We start from the raw sequence: 18,893 nt of genomic DNA on the forward strand, positions 1-18,893 counted from the left end.
GATCAGCTGTAAAGATGGCAGGATCCTGCTTCGGGAATCTTGGCAATTGCTTTCACCAGTTCACCAGTTATCTCTGCAATTTATGTTGTAGTTTGAGGACCATATGTTATACGAAAGGCTTTTTACTCAATCAAATGTGTGGTAGAAGAAAAAGCCATAGAATGGGAAATCATGAGATAAAGTCTGAGACCCAACCCTGTAACAGCTTTGGATACATAATTCAACCTCTCTAAGGCTTGAGTGGCAGCCAAAGTAGCATAATAAAAAAGTGTGGCCGGGCGCGGTGGCTCACGCTTGTAATCCCAGCACTTTGGGGGGCGGAGGCGGGCGGATCACGAGGTCAGGAGATGGAGACCATACTGACTAACACGGTGAAACCCCGTCTCTACTAAAAACACAAAAAATTAGCCGGGCATGGTGGCGGGCGCCTGTAGTCCCAGCTACTCGAGAGGCTGAGGCAGGCGAATGGCGTGAACCCGAGAGGTGGAGCTGGCAGTGAGCCGAGATTGCGCCACTGCACTCCAGCCTGGGCGACAGAGCGAGACTCCGTCTCAAAAAAAAAAAGAGTGCTGGCTGTCAAGCCAGAGGGCCCAGGTTTAATCCTAGCTTTATCGCTTACTAGCTGTGTGACCTCTCTGTGCCTCAATTTTCTTATCTATAAAATGGGTTAATACCCACTTAGAGCATTGTTATGAGGATTAAATGAGATATGCCATGTTCAACTCTTAGCACAATACCTGGCAGGATAAATACTAAATAAATATAGTCATTATAATCTCCAAGATAAGAGGATCAGTCTAAATGGTCACTGCACCCCTCTGCTTTCTAAAATTTCCATTTTATTCTCATTCTTATACTCTCCAGAGAGAACAATAGTGGAGAAAAGTCTTCTAAATTCAGTGCGAATCCTTGTGTTAGGCCATTCGCTCCTTTATTTATATAGTCAATGCCATTTGATGCCATTCACTTCTTTATTTATATAGTCAAGCATTTATTGAGTGCCCACTGTAAATGAAACACTGTAGATACACAGTAGGATATCTCTGAGAAACTCTCTGTCTTTTGGAGCAACCAGGAATACCCAATTTTCTCAAAAACTGAAATTTCTGTCCACCTCAGTCATCCCCAACTATTATAATAGTTCTTTCTCAAAATATGTCTTTGATAGAAATTTGTGTTCCGTGTTATACAAATCCACGTTCCAATATTGAGCCCTTCACTCAACATGGAGATTAACTTGTGTCCCTTTGCCAGTGGTGAGGGAACAATAGCTATGACGAATGAACAGTTTTGCAGAGAATTTAAGGAACAGGGATGCTTGGCAATGACAAGGGCTTTAGTGTTATTGCCCACAATCATGGTAGCTTGTGACCTAAAACAGCGCATCAGGGAGACCTCCAGTACTGAAGAAATAAAGTGCCAAAAAAGAGGATCTGAAAAAAGCAACTCCTTTAAAATTAGTAAGTTTTTTTCCTCACTTCTCCATAGGGGCTCAGTTTAAATTTTTCTCCTTAGCCAACAAAGCCAATATTTTTCCCTGTAATCATAAAACACTGCTAATAAATTGATCTCTTTTATCAAATGCATTATGCTACATGTGAGAGCACAGTGAGTTTGGCAACCCCAACACAGTCCCCATGTGTTTGGAACCCACTGTATTGTACACACTTGAAACACCATCTGCAGGCAGTCTTTTCCTCTCCAACTTGTCAGGGTGAGCGGCAGGAGAGATTCATGAGTTGAGATGCATCGTTAACTGTCAGCGACTCTGCCAGTGCAAAGGAAACATCTGTATCAGCCAAACCTGTTGAAGATTAAACAGTTAACTGAGTCTAAACACATATGCAAGTGAGAATACCAATGGCCCTAAAACAAAACCTGTGCATCGAAAACGCTTGATTGATGTTTCTATATCTTAGCATTCACTGCAAGCGCTGGGGTCATTTGAGGGTAGTTTAAATCTGTGGCTGCATTTCAGAGATGATTTTTAGTTCTTTAGATTGTTGATGTCAAAGATCAGTGTGGGAGGCAACTAGAATCAGTGAGCCTTGTCCTTGTCTTGAACTTTCTTCACCTTTCTCCATGGAGAGGAAACAATGAATTTTCTCAGCAGGGACTGTATTTTGAAATCTTCCCTGGAAATAATCACTAAGGAAAAAAATGTTTCTGGTAGGATGTTTCATGAATCACAAGTAAGTTTTTTTTAAAAAAATCAAAATCTTTTACTTCTACAAAAATTAGAACAGGTTGTTCCTCTCAGTGAAGTTTCTGAATTTAGGTTTGTTGGAAAGGAAGGTTGAAAAATTCTGAAGAGAAGTTATATGCATATCCAGGACAAATTGAATAGGTGGAATGGTAGCCAGCCCAGTGAATCTCCGGAACATGGTCTGTGTGGGCTTAGCCATGATGTATGCTAGGGAAATGGGGTCAGGGAGGGGATTACAGGGAGGACTATGGCTTATGGCTCAAAGAGTGACCAATGCTCTAAACTATGACTGCCAAAGTATTAGGGTCTAGCAAGACCAGAATTAACACTAGAACAAATGGCATGAAGGACAGGAGTTTCTAGGCTGTGGGTGACAATTCTGGTTAAAGAGGAAGATCTGGGCCAGTAACCATAGGTGCAAGAAGCCAGAACTTTAAGATAATCAAGACATTTAGGCTTCAAATAAATGAGCTGGTGTTAGGGCTGTATTCCAGGTGGGTATCTACAGAGGAAACAGAACATCCAATAGGCTGAGCATATCACTATGTGGGTTTAGAAGAAAGCTGCATATGGCGATCAGGTGGACACTAAAGAGCTCATGGCAGGCACCCCCAACTTATAGTAGTAAGATAAATTCTAAACCTCACTTGTGGGAAGCAGAAATATTCAAATATCTGCGTGTGTATGTGTGTGTATAAACACACATACATGCACACATTCAGGCTTAGCCAATATTGGCCCAAGAACTAAGTGGTTTGAAGCTGTCTGCAGCCTTCAGTGAATGCTGAACAAGATATGGAAAGGCAAAAACTGGCATGTGGCAAAACTGTGTCCTGAATCTCTCCACATCCACAAGCATATCGCCCTTGGCTTAGGTTTTTATCTCCTCATTCTCAGTATTTGACCACCACCCTACAAGTCAAAATGGATTCCATATTTTAATTTGAGAGTCTTGACTGCATCTGCACACACATCTACTAAGACTGTCCTTATAAGGTTCTCCATCTTCCCAATCCCAGATGTTAGCTCATAATTATATTAACCTCACCCTAAGCATGAATATACCCTAAGAATGAATATAAGCACTGATTACAGTAATACACAGCCACTGAACTAACATAATTATCAGTAAATTGCAATAAATTGGAGTGAGGTCTTTCTTTAAGATGTCATAATCAACATTTTCTTCCTAAGCAATTAGAAAAAAATAGAAAAATCTGGAGATAAAAACAATTGATTGAATAACATTTCCATGAGTCATGTCATACCTCTAAAAATGACTCATAATAATAAGCTTCGAGCTCTAGAAATGTTCATCTGTTTAGCAACTGCTGGATAAACATCTGGAATGAGGTCAATTCTCTGTAAGTATGTCACTCCTGTGCCACATGATGTGTTGATGATTTAATGCAAGCTTGTTTCACCCGCGGCCCAACACAGATTCATAAGCTTTCTTAAAACAGTATGAGTTCCTTTGCTTTTTTTTTTTTTTCTAGCTCATCAGCTATCATTAGTGCTAGTGTATTTGATATGTGGCCCAAGATAATTCTTCTTCTAACGTAGCCCAGGGAAGCCAGGGAAGATTGGACACCCATGATAATGTGTTTAACAGGGTATGTAGTAAGAAAAATACTTATTGGTCTTAGCCTGTAGTTCTTTCACAACTATTCATAAAAAGCAGAATATGGTGATCCTAAAACCTCATTCAAGAGAGACTATATTGATTATATATTCATGAGGAGAGGAGAAGGGAAGGAAGTTGCAAAAAAGGAAGGTATAGGAAAAAGGTTTTGCTGGGTTTAGGGAAATAGCAGATATTGCACCCAGGGTAGCTGCCAGGACCTGAAAAATGATTTAGAATCTTCCTCATCCCCTCCCACTACTGCCACCCCTGCAAAAGCTGAAAACTAAGCTGAGACTGACAATCTCAATCACAAATCGCATGCACAAGCAGAGGCGGCAAAGAGCCAAGCACCCACGGAGACTTGGTTAGTGAAGGTCTCCTCATTGACCGATGGTGGGGAGAAAAAGTGGAGAATATTTTCTGTCCTCTTCTGGTCTGCTTCAAATCCTCTCACTTTAGCATGCGCTGAAGGCAAAGGAGTCACATTCATTTCAATGAATTAATTTCTAGCTAGCCCTGAAGAATGCGGGGTTTACATAAGATATGGTTTTGAAAAATGAAAGATCGTACCATTTTTTTCATCCCAGTTGTGAAAATTTATACCCAGTGCCCATGTTACAACCGAGAATATTGTTCAAATTTTTGTTTGTAAGAGGAAAGGAAAGGACATGAATACAGCTCCCTAATAGACAGTAGAAAAGGGTTTGGAGCAAAAGAAGAATTAGAAAATAGTGGAATGGCTCCTTCATGGTGCCCTGGTAACTTTGCACATATCCGCACAAACCACACAGGCAAAGACTTGAACCACAACCTATACAAGTCTTGGCAGGAGACATTGAGATCCTCCCAGAACATGGGAGGATGGGAGACTGGTGAGGTGCTACTTTGAGGAAATCTCCCAATCTCCTTTCTATTTCCTCTAGGAAACTGATAGTTTCTCTCATTGCCTTTGGGGTTTTAATGATATAGAAGGATTTTCATCCCTCCCCGCTCCAGGTATAGAGGCAAACTATAAAACTGCCCAGCTGTAGTCTAGAATCATCTGCCCAGCAATGGACATTGTTGCATTATCATTGCAGTCCCTAGACTCCTTTGATTTCAGTGTTGTCCTTTTTGGCCTGTGGAAAAGGACCCAGTAGATAGCACCTTCAGTTATTCTTCCTTTTGCTGTCTACGTAAGTAATAAACTCTCTAAACCTAAAATTGAATAGTATATTTACCCGTCAAATCACTCGGGTTGTGGCCTCGGCCTTGTCTTGTCTTGTGAGCTTGGCAGGAGGAAAAAGGTAGAAAGGACTTCCAATGTTTAGAAAAGAAGAAGAATGGAAAGCTATGCATGAAAATTCATTGTTCTTCTTTTCAGATGTTAAGGTAAATGTAGTAAAGGAAATGGTCTTTGTTTTTAACTCCCACAGTGTCTACAAGCCCGAAATACATGAGCCACCTCTCTCTAAGTAAACATTATAGTGTGTTACCTCAAGTCAGCTAATGTGGGCAGTCATACCTGAGCAATGGATTGACTGCAAATAAATGGGACTAAAGGATACAATGCCCTAATAGAAGCACACTTAGTGTTCTGCCTATTTTAATTTTTTAAATTATTGGCATTTCTATTTTAACGTTGAATGTAATGAGATAAAGGTAGATTTTATTAATAGGAAAGTTGCTTTTGCTTTCTTATTTCTATATTCCACTCGAAGTAATGAAAGTTGAGATAATGACAGGAGAAGATGTTAAACCAGGGCAAAATAGAAGTTTCTAAAACTGTGCTTTTTCCCTGCTGGCATAAACAGAGCCAACACTCAAGAAAATGCCTTGGATTCATTTTTAGTATTCTCTCTACAGAAAACACTAAACCATGGAGCAGGCACAATAACGGTGAAAGGGTAGAAGTAAAATTACAAGCTATTAATATCTACAGAACTCTTATCATGTGGCAGACCTTGTGTTACATGCTGTTTAGTTTTGTAGATGGCAGAGGCTTAAAGGAGAAAACTAGGAATTTGGAAAGAGAGAAAGAGAGACCCTAAAGTACACATACACACACATACATTCACATATGTAAACGTAAATTTTAGCATTTAACTTATCTCAAAGAATGAGATGTGAGAGTATTAATACATTTAAGAAAATAACTTAGATAACATTGCCAATTAAAGAACACGTTAAGTTTGCTTCCATAAAATATCTCTTTAAAAAGAAAAACTATACGTGTGCTTCCTTTCCATAGGAAATGTTATTTTCTCTTGAGAAGCCCAGTCCCACTGCTTTCTTATATTGACTATGAATGAGAGTGGACTTGTTTTACACTTTTATTATTCCTTTAGAAAAATTAAGTTGTTATCATCACCCAGTAAGTGTTTGTAGCAAGTTCACATTAGCCTGTACTGAGAAACTAGCCAAGAGTCAACCCCAACAGTGATGGATGTATGTTATTATGAAGTAAATGGGAGCAAAAGGAAATAGGGCAGAAGAAAGCTTATACACATGATTTTTTTTTTTTTTTTTTACTCTGCCTCTGGCAGCTACCCTCAATTTAAATGCTCTGACATGGAGATAAGGGATAAAAATAGCACATCTGCTATTAAATTGTAAGGAAATTCACTTAGTTTTAAATCAAATGTCTTAGAAAAAGAAGAATATTTAATCACTTATTCATTCACCAACAAATATGTATTGATCCACAGTTATACAACAAGCTCAGCCAAGTCGAAAATCTAGGAACTGCTCCTGAGCTAGGGTTACTCACAACAGTTCTAAAGCCATAAAAAGTACCCTAAGAAATTAGAAAATTTCCCTAGAAAGCTGAACTCTTCACTCTTAAATCCAGTGAATGTTTAAGAAAATGACTGTGGCTCTAGAAGAAAAACTCCATTTGTTAGTTTTTTAATGGAATTTCCACCATTTTCCATTTGTCATTAGGTGAAGGAAAGGCAACTTAACTCATTACCGAGTCCGCTGTTTGGAACACTTAAGTATTCTTAAATAGGACAAAGGACACATGACAGAGAGAGAACATTTCTGTTCCAAAGGATTGCTAAGCATACTTTTGGTGATACTCCAGATTTCAGAAGAGAAAGGAATGTACAGTTCTAAAATTTATTAACAATAAAAGTTTAACAACAAAGGTCGTTGTAATTTATGAGTCATTGTTTAGGTATCAGTCACTGTGGAAAAAGTGCTTTGCTTAATAGTTCTGACTCTTGTAGAAACAGGTAACGGTATCTCCTTGGCTCTGCACAATATGGCATAGCACATTTTTACTAGGAGTCTAGATTTATCTATACCTTTATTGAGACTTTATAACAGCATGATGAAGATATATAAAACCAGAATTATCTTACACATGTGGCTAAAGAAATGCAGGCTGAAGAAGATGTCACCTACATATTTGGCAAAAGAATCACTCAAATATAAATCATCATCAAATCAACCAACTAGAGCAGTGATTCTTGACCAAGGGTAATTTTGCTCCCAGGCGGGCATTTGGCAATATCTGGAGAGACTTTTAATTATCACAACTGGCTTAGTACTTCTGATACCTTGTTGGTAAAGGTTACTGATGCTGCTGAACATTTTACTATACACAGTACATTCCCCAACAACTGGCCCTGCTATGGTTTGGAAACTTTCAAAAGAAAAGAAAGACGTGTTCCTGCCACCAAGGAGTTAATTGCCCTCACCTGTGCTATATATTATAGTGCACTCATGTGAGAAAAAAAGCTAAAACTGCCAGTAACATTCAATTAAAGGAGTTTCTGGGCTGCTAGTTAGTAAGATGATAATAATTATTAAAACCTCCAACGTAGCATGATTATATCACAAACTGAGATTATTAAAGATTTGACTCAAGCTTGACACTTCTCTTAGTCTAATCTGGCTGCTGTAACAAAATACCTTACACTGGGTAACTTATAAGTGGTAGAAATTTCTTTTTCACAGCTCTGGAGGCTGGAAAGTCCAAGATCAAAGCAACAGCAAATTCTGTGTCTAGTGAAGGCTCACACTCTGCTTCATAGATGGTGCCTTGTTGCTGTGTTTCCACATGGCAAAAGAGGCCAACATTGTGTCCTCACATAGCAGAAGGAGCAGGAGGGGCAAGTAAGCTCCCTCAGGCCCCTGCATGAGAGCATTAATTCCATTCATAAGAGTGGAGCCCTCATGACCTCATCATCTCCCAAATGCCTCTCCTCTCTATAATGTTAAGAGAGGATTAAATTCTAACATATGAATGTTGGAAGGATACCAACATTCAGGCGATAGCCACTCATGATAAGATCCTTTTCTTTGTTTAAAATCCAGGGCCCTTTTTTCCCCTTGACAATATTGAGGAGAGGTGACATCTTGAATTGGACCTGGTAGATTTGAAAACACACATGCACACACCTGGAACTATATTGCTTAAATACTATACTTCTGTCCTCCTTATGACACCTCATTTTAGAATGTTATATACATTTTAGTTCTCTAACTTCAGCATTTTACAACTGAGAAGTAATGAGATAATTTGTATTCTTTCTTTTTTATTATTTAGAAGTAGAGGGGAAAATCATAATTCCATTTTATTTTTAATTTTGAAGATTCCCAAACAATATGAAAGCAATTTCTTAAGGTTACTTAAAAAAACCATAAAAAGGGGACTCTATTGTCCTTTGAATATTGGTATCCTCAACTTGGAGAGACTGTATGATTCTTCATGTTATTCCTTAGAAAGGAATCCACTACCATTTGAAAGGAATCCACCACATTTGAATGTTAAGCCAAGGATCAAATTTGTTTCTGAACTGCAATTAAGGATTAAATATGAGGTAGTGCCAGACATCATATTTTATTTTTGTTCTGGGTAAGCTATTTGATATAATCTTAGAGATTAAGAAAGATAGGAATCATTTTATGTATACCAGAAATTGAAGATATAGTAAGAAGATATAAAATATTAATAACTTGTTACAAAAATATGATTGCTTTAATCATCTTTTCAGATACCAGAATTTGCAAATTGCATACATATTTAACAAACCTTTAAACAAATATTTAGCCAATATGAACAAATACTTGCTAAAAAGGATTATCATTTTTTGCTAAGTCTGTTAAATGATCCAGCTAACTAAATGACTAATTTTTCAGGATATTTATATATGTGAAATCTAGCATATAACACACGCAGTACAGTACATTAATTCTCTAAAGTATCTCCATAGGTCAGTGCAATAATAATAAACCCCAGTCATGCATTATAAAGGTGGAATGCTGATGTGACTTTCCTGTTACTCTAAACTGCATGACTTTTACCCCAAAAATATTTAATGATTTACATTTCAAAGATAAATTATCAACACAGAGATTATGCTTCTCAGTGTTGGGAAATGTGAGATAACAATAAGCAATGGTCAGAAGACCATGTTGCTCTGCCTATATTATGTTATAGACATGAAAATAAACCCTAGGATTTAAAGAGAAATTCAAACAGCTTTATAGCAATTGTATCTATGTCTCCTTTTAGTTCTAGTTTATTGTTTTTCACAAGACCCTGTTTACGAGACATTCTGAAAGCTTTTGCTGTAGAGTGCCTTTTGTCTCCTTGATCTAGTAACATGAAAAGTGAATGATAGGGAGGGGGAGAAGAAATGCCATTTATTCAAGATATAAAAGGTCTTGCTCCAACAAATTACATAATTTATGATTTTTGAAACTAATTCCAGTACTAAAGAAATCCTTCAGGGACTCATAGAAAAAGAAAATGCCTGGTTGCTTAACTTGGCAGCATTTATCACAAACCCAAGGTTCTGATAATAATAGGTGAAAATTTTTTAATTCTACAAAGGGAGAAAAATAACTTAAACTTCCTTTAACATAGCCCCCAAAACATTAGTATGAAGCAAAGTAAAAAAAAAAAATACTAACACATCTTAATATCATGAAAATTAAGTAGATTTTAAAATCACAGCACATAATTGTATGTATGTTACATTATTTTAACATGCATTTTATGGTAATAATCACCAGTTAATCGACGTTCCTTCCACAAACATTTATTGAACACCTACTATGTGCCAGACAAATTGCTAGCCTAGGAAAGCTTCCTGTGCCCTCCATGGCTCTAACCTAGAACTTTTCACATCTTACAGGAATGATTAGCTCTCTTATCTGTTTTCTCCACCAGACATATTCCTTGAAGGTAGAATCACTGTCAGCAGAGTCCTTGCCAGGAACGACTTTCCAGTGAAGGAGACAATGGAAATTTGGACAACATTTTGAAAACCACTAACAGTAACAACGTGTTAATAATAATTAAAACATTAAGATGAAGAAGACAAAGAAGGAGAAATATGAAGGGATTGCTAATTGCTGGTGTTCTGCATTTGTTTTCTTATTTAATCCTCATCATAACCTTATGAGGTGGGTAACAATTTGGACCCTGTTTTACAAATTAATAGGTCATAATGCAAAGGTATTAGGTAACTTGATCAAAGTCACCCTAGAAACAGAATTGAGTGGTTAGAGAGAGGCAGAGGAGAGAGAATTGTGTTCCAGGCAGGAGAATGAAGGCATGAGCCAATCACACATACCTTCCAGCCATTTGGGAGGGCTGGACCAGCATTATTAGTTCAAGCAGAGCATGATAGGCTATGGCTCAGGATTGCCATTAATACCATCCACATATGTGGTTATTGAGGATTTACCATGTAATTGAGACAGGATTGTGATCATCACTTTGTAAGAATTACTTTATTTTTTTCTCACCACAACCCTGAGAGAGACTTATTATTTTTATTTTGATTTTATGGATGAAAGAACTATTTTAGACAAGCTAAGTAACTTGCCCAAGGTGAGAAAGTTAATAATTCAAGTGAGGTCTGGCCAATTCCAAAGTCCATGATCTAAACCCACCTCTGTTACCTGACCACTTCAGAATGAGGCTGAAGACATAGTTAAGGCCAAAGTATGAAGAGCCTAACAGGCTAACCCCAAAAGTAGGAATTTTATTCTAAAATCTATTTGGAAGCACAAAGAAAATGTAGGCAGGGTAATAGCACAGTTATACTTAGAATAATAATCATTTTAACAATGCTTTGAAGACGGAGTTGAAGGGAAGTGATACTACAGGCAGTAGACTAGTTAGGAGACTATTATAATAAATCTGGTAAAAATATTTGCTGTGCTAGTGACAGTGGGAATGTTTAGGAGGTAAAATGATGACAAAAAGATAACAGGAAATGCCTAAATGATGACTACAATAAAGGAGAATTCCTCGGGTTACTCTTGTGCCTCTGAGTTGAGTAACTAGTTGGATGATCATGCTATTCATTTATACAGGAGACATAAAATTTGGAGATTGAATTTTGAGCATGCGAGAGGTGTCTGGGGCATGTTCATCACAAGGTTATTTGGATATGTATATTTGGATCTTAGAAACCGGGGGATTGGGTTGTGGACATAGATTTAAGAGTCCTTGACTTATAGGTAGTGGTCAGATGCTTGAACATACATCATAAGGACAACAAAGAAGAAGATGGAGTAGAATAATTAAAGAATACCGAAGGAAGAGTAGCATGAAAACTGCCAAAGGAGGAAATAGTTTCATGAAAGAGTGGTTGAAGTGTCTAATTCTACAGGACCGATTAAGTAGGATGAAGAGGGGAAGTACACAATCATTTGATAACTAGGGGGCTATTTGCTTGATGGAACTTGCCCCAAGCTAAGAGCTGTGGAAAGAAAAACTGGAGACATGGAGTAAAACCTCTTCTTTTAAGAATCTTGGCTATAAAGGAAATTCTATAGAAGTAGGGGCAATGTAGGATAAAGGGAAGATATTTTATAAGATGAGAGATCTGTAAATATGTGTATGCACTAAGGGTAACTTAAAAACTCTCAATACAAAGAGATTTAAGATGGAGAGGGAAGGTTGCTAATGCAGGGGGTTGGCAATCATGGGGTCCAGAAAAAAGGTGGAGAAATTAGAAAGAGCTGAAAACCCTGAAAAGAAGAAGCTTTACATTAAATGTGGATAAGTCACACCACAGGCAACTTGACTGAACAAACACACTAGAAAAGAACATTTGTTCTTCATATCACAAATCTAATCTCCCAATATGTACCAGCTAATCTCCCAATATGTACCAGAATCCATAAACTCAATAAAAATATGAATAACAATTAATAAAAATAGGCATAGGTTATGAATAGACAGTTCACAAGAAAGAAAATATAGCTGGTTCTTAAACCAATATACAAAAAGATATATAACCTCACTCATAACAAGAGAAATGCAAATGAAATATATACCAAGATACTGTTTTTCACACAACAGATTGGCCAAAATGCAAACATTTGAAAACTTTGAAATCCTATGTTACTGTTAAAAACTTAAAGAAGCAAATTTTGCAATATAAAAAAATTTACAAATTTATACACCCTTTGAACCAGCAATCCCACTTCTGGGGGTTTATCCTATCTTGAACCCCAAAAGGGCTTGAGCTATCAGAATTTTTTTTATTATTTTTTTTCAGATTTTGAACTTCCTGGACTCAAAAACCCATGGCATTTGAATCACTTCCTGTTTTTTAATAAGAAAATATTTATATCACTCACATACAAAATAAAATATATACAAGGTTATTTATTGTATCATTGATTATAATAGCAAAAGATTAGAATTATCTCTTGCCCATGAATATTGGACTGATTAAATAGCTTATAGTATAAACTATGTTACAGTAAAATACTGCTGCATTGATACATCAATGTATGATATAGAAAGCATTCTAGAATATAGAACTTAAGAATCACAACAATGAATATATTAGCTTTCATTTGTGAAAAAGGGAAAAGTAAGAATATACATTTGTATACGTTTGTACTTAAAGAAATACAAGTATGAAACTGAAGACAAATGCTTACTAAAAGGGGCAAGAGAGGAAAAGAGTTAATGAGAATGGAATTGGAAAGGAAACTTCTCAATGAATATGTTTTATATCACTCTGATTTTTGAGTAATATAACTGTGTTAGCTTTTTAAAAGGAGCATTGATATTTTAAATGATATTGAGAATGATTTCTTAAAATAAATTATAATAGAGCAAATTCCCCCCCACCACACACACACATTCTCATGCACTTAATATCTGTTATGCTTTCTTGAGTAGGAGAGAAAGAAGAGCAATTACAACTGCTTACTAGGAATTTGGAAGTGCCATACTTTCAGCCTCTATTGGCTGTAGGGCAGTCCATAAGCTGAATGCATCTTGGGAATGTGACTCATATATGAATATTATGGTCACGTTTATTGCAGAAGGCAACAAGTTTAGCAAATGTGCTCTAGCTATCTCAAAAAGATGTTCAATCTACAATTTCTAATTTGTTTATATTACACTGTTGCAATATGAGAGACAAATCCTAGAAATTTCTGCTATAGAAACAGGAAGTACAAGGGCTCGCCAACACCTTAACCCGAGAAGGACCTCAGCTGTTCACATCCCTTTTGTTTAGGACATGAACTGAGACACAAAAGCCCAGGTCTTTGAAAATATATTTTACTTTTTAGTAAGAAGAAGGATATTTGCATTTGAAACCATAAAGCACCACAAGCAAAATAACTTTTTTTAGCCTCAAGTCCAAAAAAATCCTGAGGTAGAGAAAAAAATCATTTTTTCACAGATGTCATTTGTATATCAGTCCCAGACAACATAAGTGCTTTTGACTCTGTTGCGTACAACTCTCAGCTAGTGAAATTCCTGCAGTAGACATTTTCCTCTGGAAAGTGCAAAATAAATAAGCCAAACCTGCCTCAGTATATATCTGATGCCTTGATTTCATTCTTGGTAGTGGCCTTAATTTAGAGGTACAAATTAGTTTAGCTCTGTGTGTCCAAAAACTTAAAGAAATTAACCAATAAATGAGAATTTACCTCAAAATTGGAAACATTGATCTACAGCACCAGTTCTGATATGGTTACTTAAATCTGTAAAATTAAAGATTTGGGATTAGATTAATTCTACAGCTCTCACTAGCTTCAACATTCTATGATTCTCCTTCCTCCTGGCTGGGCTAGGAAACAAAGCTGCATTTTTTCTGAGCCTGGGAGGTCCTTACTTACGAGACCAACATCTCAAATCATGCTACTCACAACAGTAGACAGAAAATATACGGCCTTAAGCTGTACTTCCTGCTAAGAAGGCTTTTCAGAAACATATTCCTGAACATAGGAGAGTCTTCCACAATGCAGGGCTTTGAGAATTGAGAATCGTCTTTTTTATTCCTGGAATTCAGAAGCATTATCATTGTTTCACAGCCTAGCTAAGCAAGGTAAGGCTTCATTTCACAATTCAAGTGGAGAAATACCATTAAGTGAAGGAAAAATAATTCAGAGTATTCTAACAATGTTCTTCTAAGGTGGTCTCCAACTTTTGCTCTTTCTTAATTGAATATTGAAAAATCTGAAAAAAAAAACACAGCTAGAAGAAAATAAGTTTTATCTGTTTACTAACTTTAGGTGTTTCTCTCGGGAAAAGAGAGAAATTGTTGGCAGAAAATAATGAAAACACAAGGACTTGTGCTATGTGCTGAAAGAATTGCTCCTGAAACGATAAAGGTGAAATGCAGATAAAGACAATCAAGATACAGCCTTTTTTAAAAAATTATTTCCATTCCAGTCCTATCCATCCTGGCTATAAAGTGACTCTCAACCCAAAGATCTGGAAACTCCAGTTAAATAATGCACATTTAATTATTTTGGTGCCCTTTTGGTATCTAATGCATGCTATAGATGATTGCACTGTCATTTTAACACTGAGAGGTACAAAATAATAGGTCCATTTTCAAAAGACGTGGCCTTAACAGAACTAGTATTTTTACTTTTAGTATCCAAAGTACTAGAATAAAGGAAACTGCTAAATGTAACGTAAAGTGGAAATGCACATACATTTAGTCATTGCAAGCACTATGTCATATAAAAGCTTAGTTAAATGCTGCATTTTAGCAGATTAGCCTTTCCCACCTGAAATAGTGTCTTAGTTCATTTGTGTGGCTATAACAGAATAGCACCAGTGAGGTAATTTATGAAGAACTAAAATTTGTCTCTCACAGTTCTGAAGGCTAGGAAGTCTAAGATCAAGGTGTCAGCAACTTGCATGGACTTTCTTGCTGCATTCTCACAGGCAGAAAAGGCAGAAGGGCAAGAAAGGAAAAGTTTTATCCTCACATGGCAGAAAGGTAGATGAGAGCAAACCCACTCCCATAAGCCCTTTTCCTAATGGCATTAATTTATTCATGAGGAGTTTACCCTCAAGACCTAAACACGTTCCAGAAGGTTCTACCTCTCAACACTGTATGTTGCATTGAAGATTAAGTTTCTAACAATGATGTTGGAGGGAACACATTCATATAATAGCAAATAGGAACTTTGTAGCAGTCATACTTTTAATGGAAAAGATGAAACTACTTGGGGATCTCTGTGCTATGTAGTTCACTGAAAAAATATATCAAATATTTAATCTAAGACACACATTTTATCACATTTGTAAACGCATTGTGGCTCACATTTGTAATCCCAGCACTTTGAGAAGCTGAGAGCAGAGGATTGCTTGAGCCCAGGAGTTTGAAACTAGCCTGGGCAAGATGGTGAGCACCTTTCTCTACAAAGGCTTAAAAAATCAGCCAGGCATGGTGGCACACCAGTAGCTCCAGTGCCAGCTACTCAAAAGGCAGAGGCAGGAGGATCCCTTGAGCCCAGGAGTTCCAGGTGCAGTGGCTTTGTCACACCACTGCACTCCTGCCTGGGTGACAAAGCAAGACCCCATCTCTTAAAATAAATCCATCAAGGTGGAATGCATTTTGCATTAGGTAGTGAATCAGTTTAATTGGCAGTGCTTTACTTTTTCTTATTTATTGGGACATAAAATAACAGTACATCTTTGAGATCATAAAGTGTGGTCTTATATGAAGATGTTTTTGTTGTCTTCTATGGTAAGAGCCATTCATAAGATCACATTACTTATTTTATGGAATGGGTCAAAAAGACAAAGAATTAATCTCAGTGTAAGTTTTCTCCTAGTACTAAGGGATACTAATAGCAAAACACACAGTTAAGATCACGATATTCCTTGTTAATCTAAATAACAGCTTCCCAAAGATGTCCACATTCCAATACCCAAGATCTGTGACTATGTTACCTTACATAGCAAAAGGGACTTTTGCAGGTGTGATTAAGCTAAGGACCCTGAGATAGGAAGACTATCCTGAATTATCTGGGTGGACACTATCAAATCACTAGGGTCCTTATAACAGGGAGGCAGGAAGATCAGAATTAGAGAGAAGAGATTTAAGAATGGAAGCAAAGGCTGGAGTAATACATTTTGAAGATGGAGGAAGGGGCCATGAGCCAAGGAATGAAGGAGTCCTTTTAGAATCTGGGAAAGGTAAGGAAAAAGATTCTCATCTAAAACCTCCAAAAGGAATGCATCTCTGCTGACATCTTGATTTTAGCGTATAAAACCTATTTCAAGTTTCTGACCTCCAGAACTGTAAGATAGATAAATTTGTGTTGTTTTGACCCACTAAGTTTGTGGTAATTTTTTACAGTAGCAATAGGAATCTAATACAACCCTCTATAAGGAACATTTGTTGAATAATACAAAATAGTTTTTACAGTCCTTCTGGTTAATGTCAAAGTAATTGCACATACTGGTAATTATATTCCTATGTTATGAAATGATGCAGATAATCAAGAAAAATAAGATGCAAGTATGGATGAATAGAAGGATGGGCACATATATATCTATGAATAAATATATACTGATCTAATTTATATATATAATAAAGCAAAAATAGCAATATGCTAATTGTAGAATCTGAGAGATAGGTATACGTGTGTTCATTGTACGTTATTTCTTTAAATTTGTCTATATTTTTTAAACATTTTATAATAAGGTATTGGGAAGCAGGGAGATGAATGTAGATTTGACAGCTTTAAAATAGAGATGTTGCCATTCTTGAAAAAAAAATCAGCTTTTAGCCAGGTGACCCCCCAAAATCATAAGCCTCTGTCATTACTGTATATACTGTCATATATTACTGTATAAATTAAGTTAAATTACAATTTTGTATTAGTCCTAATATTCAATTATAATGGTTTTTAATATATAAAATCAAAAACTTCAATGAAAAACTGATTCTTTTTCTCCATTAACAATAATTTGATTGTATATTTCAAGATAGCTGGAAGAGAATAATTCAAATGTTTCTGGCATAAAGAAAAGACAAATATTTAAGGTAACGAATATCCCAATCATACTGATTTTATCTTTACAAATTATAAGAATGTATTAAATTATTACATGTACCCTGAAAATATGTACATCTATTGTGTATCTATAAAGAAACAATTTTTAAAGAACAATTTGACACCGAGGAATGAATTTTTAAATGGTAAAGAGAGATTCTAACAATATATACTGAAGGATGTGCTTGCTGACATTTTTATGTTAGCAAAAGAATTACAAAAGAACCTTCATATTTCCCAATCCTAGGAAAATACATGAAGTAGAAATTTACTTTTGATGCACTAACACTTTCTCCACCGGTACCCACTCTCTTGATTTTTCTCTCTCCAAAGGGATTTGCTCTATACTAGAGTTAGAAAATGAACATGCAATTTTTCCTTACGCCGGGTTGTTCTTTACCAAGATAGTTTCATTTTAACAGACTTCTCTTTAAAATTCTGGTGCTGTCAGTACCTACAGGGAACGAAGGAATAATGGCAGATTCAAGATCCTATGGCATACCACAAGGCATCTCTGAATCTCCGAAACATGAATCCTGGTTTGCTTCCAAAATCGATTCATAAGGTCAGCAGTGGAGCCTATATATGGCCTATAGCTCCTGCTACCTGGTTAGTAAGTGAAACCACACAGAAACTGTAAAGTAGCCTATTGTTTTCTGACTATTTCCATGTCTATTTATTCCCACTTATGTTCACATTCCACAGCAATGCTTCAAAAAGTTTAGAAAAAGCAAAACACAGTAGGAACAATAAGGTATAAAACTTTCATCCCACCTTTAAATTCAACAGCTAATTTTAATTATCATCCTTATATCTCAATGGGTTAATTGTATTTCATTTTTTTCATATCCCTGCTACTAGTTTCATTATATTTATTATTCCCTTGAAATTGCCTATAACCTACAGTAGAGTATCTTCAGAAATTAGCCAATTAAACAAAGGCACAGACCATTAAGCAACTTAATTGTTTGCTCAATGGACTTTGCCAGTTTATTTTAGATTATCCTACTTTAAAACATCACTTAAATATATGGCCAATATGTAACCTTCTTCTGCCTAATCTCAACTGAAAACCATACTCTGTTATTATACCTCTTCAACATCATCCCTGATTACTGGTGATAACAGTTTCCTTCTTTTTGGCTTTAAACTGAGCACTTCTAGAAAAGTCTCTCTTATATCTTCACTGTTTTTATCAGTAATGTAAAGAATACTGTCTACTTTTTTTCTGGCTCTCGTTCTTTTTTTAAATTCATTGAATCATATTCCTCAGCTGGGCCCCAAGTGCTACTCAGCAATTCTTTTATTTAACTCTAATTGATTCCCTATTGCACTTGCCACAGCAACTGTTTGAAAATGCATCTCAAGGCACCTAACTCACACCTGTCATACTGAGTCTCAGTAAATAACTTTGCCATACACCTAAATTACAAAGAAGACCAAAGCCTTCTGAAGCAAATTCCTATTCTGGTATTCATTTATCATTTCAGATTTTCTCAGAAACGTATTCTTTTTAATTCTTCTGTGATCTTAAGGAAAGGATATCATTCTATTCCAAGATGAATTTTTCCAGCACATAAGAAGTAACATTGCTTCACTTGTAACATTTACTCTGCATAAACAAGCAAGTCTTCCCTTTACACCTTATAGCACATCAGAAACAAAGCCGAAATATTTAAACCTGATTTTACCGAAGGCTAGGGGATAATAAAAGGGAAAAATTCCAAAGAGATATGTGTAATTGGAGAATCTGATTTGCAATATAACTGACTCATCTTCAGTTTA

General features: G+C 36.3%; 1 long non-coding RNA gene across 2 annotated transcripts in view; it reads left to right on the top strand.

Annotated features, from left to right (window-relative positions):
- LOC105379104 (uncharacterized) overlaps positions 1 to 14,509 on the top strand; it is a 62,441-nt gene extending 47,932 nt beyond the window's left edge. For both annotated transcript variants that reach the window (XR_948631.4, XR_948632.4), the window contains 2 exons: positions 9,994 to 10,229; positions 14,322 to 14,509. This is a non-coding gene — a long non-coding RNA (uncharacterized LOC105379104). The remainder of the gene's footprint in view (positions 1 to 9,993; positions 10,230 to 14,321) is intronic.
- The last annotated feature ends 4,384 nt before the right edge of the window (positions 14,510 to 18,893 follow it).

The sequence above is a fragment of the Homo sapiens genome, chromosome 5 (assembly GCF_000001405.40).
Source record: "Homo sapiens chromosome 5, GRCh38.p14 Primary Assembly".
NCBI classification, from domain to species: Eukaryota; Metazoa; Chordata; class Mammalia; order Primates; family Hominidae; genus Homo; species Homo sapiens.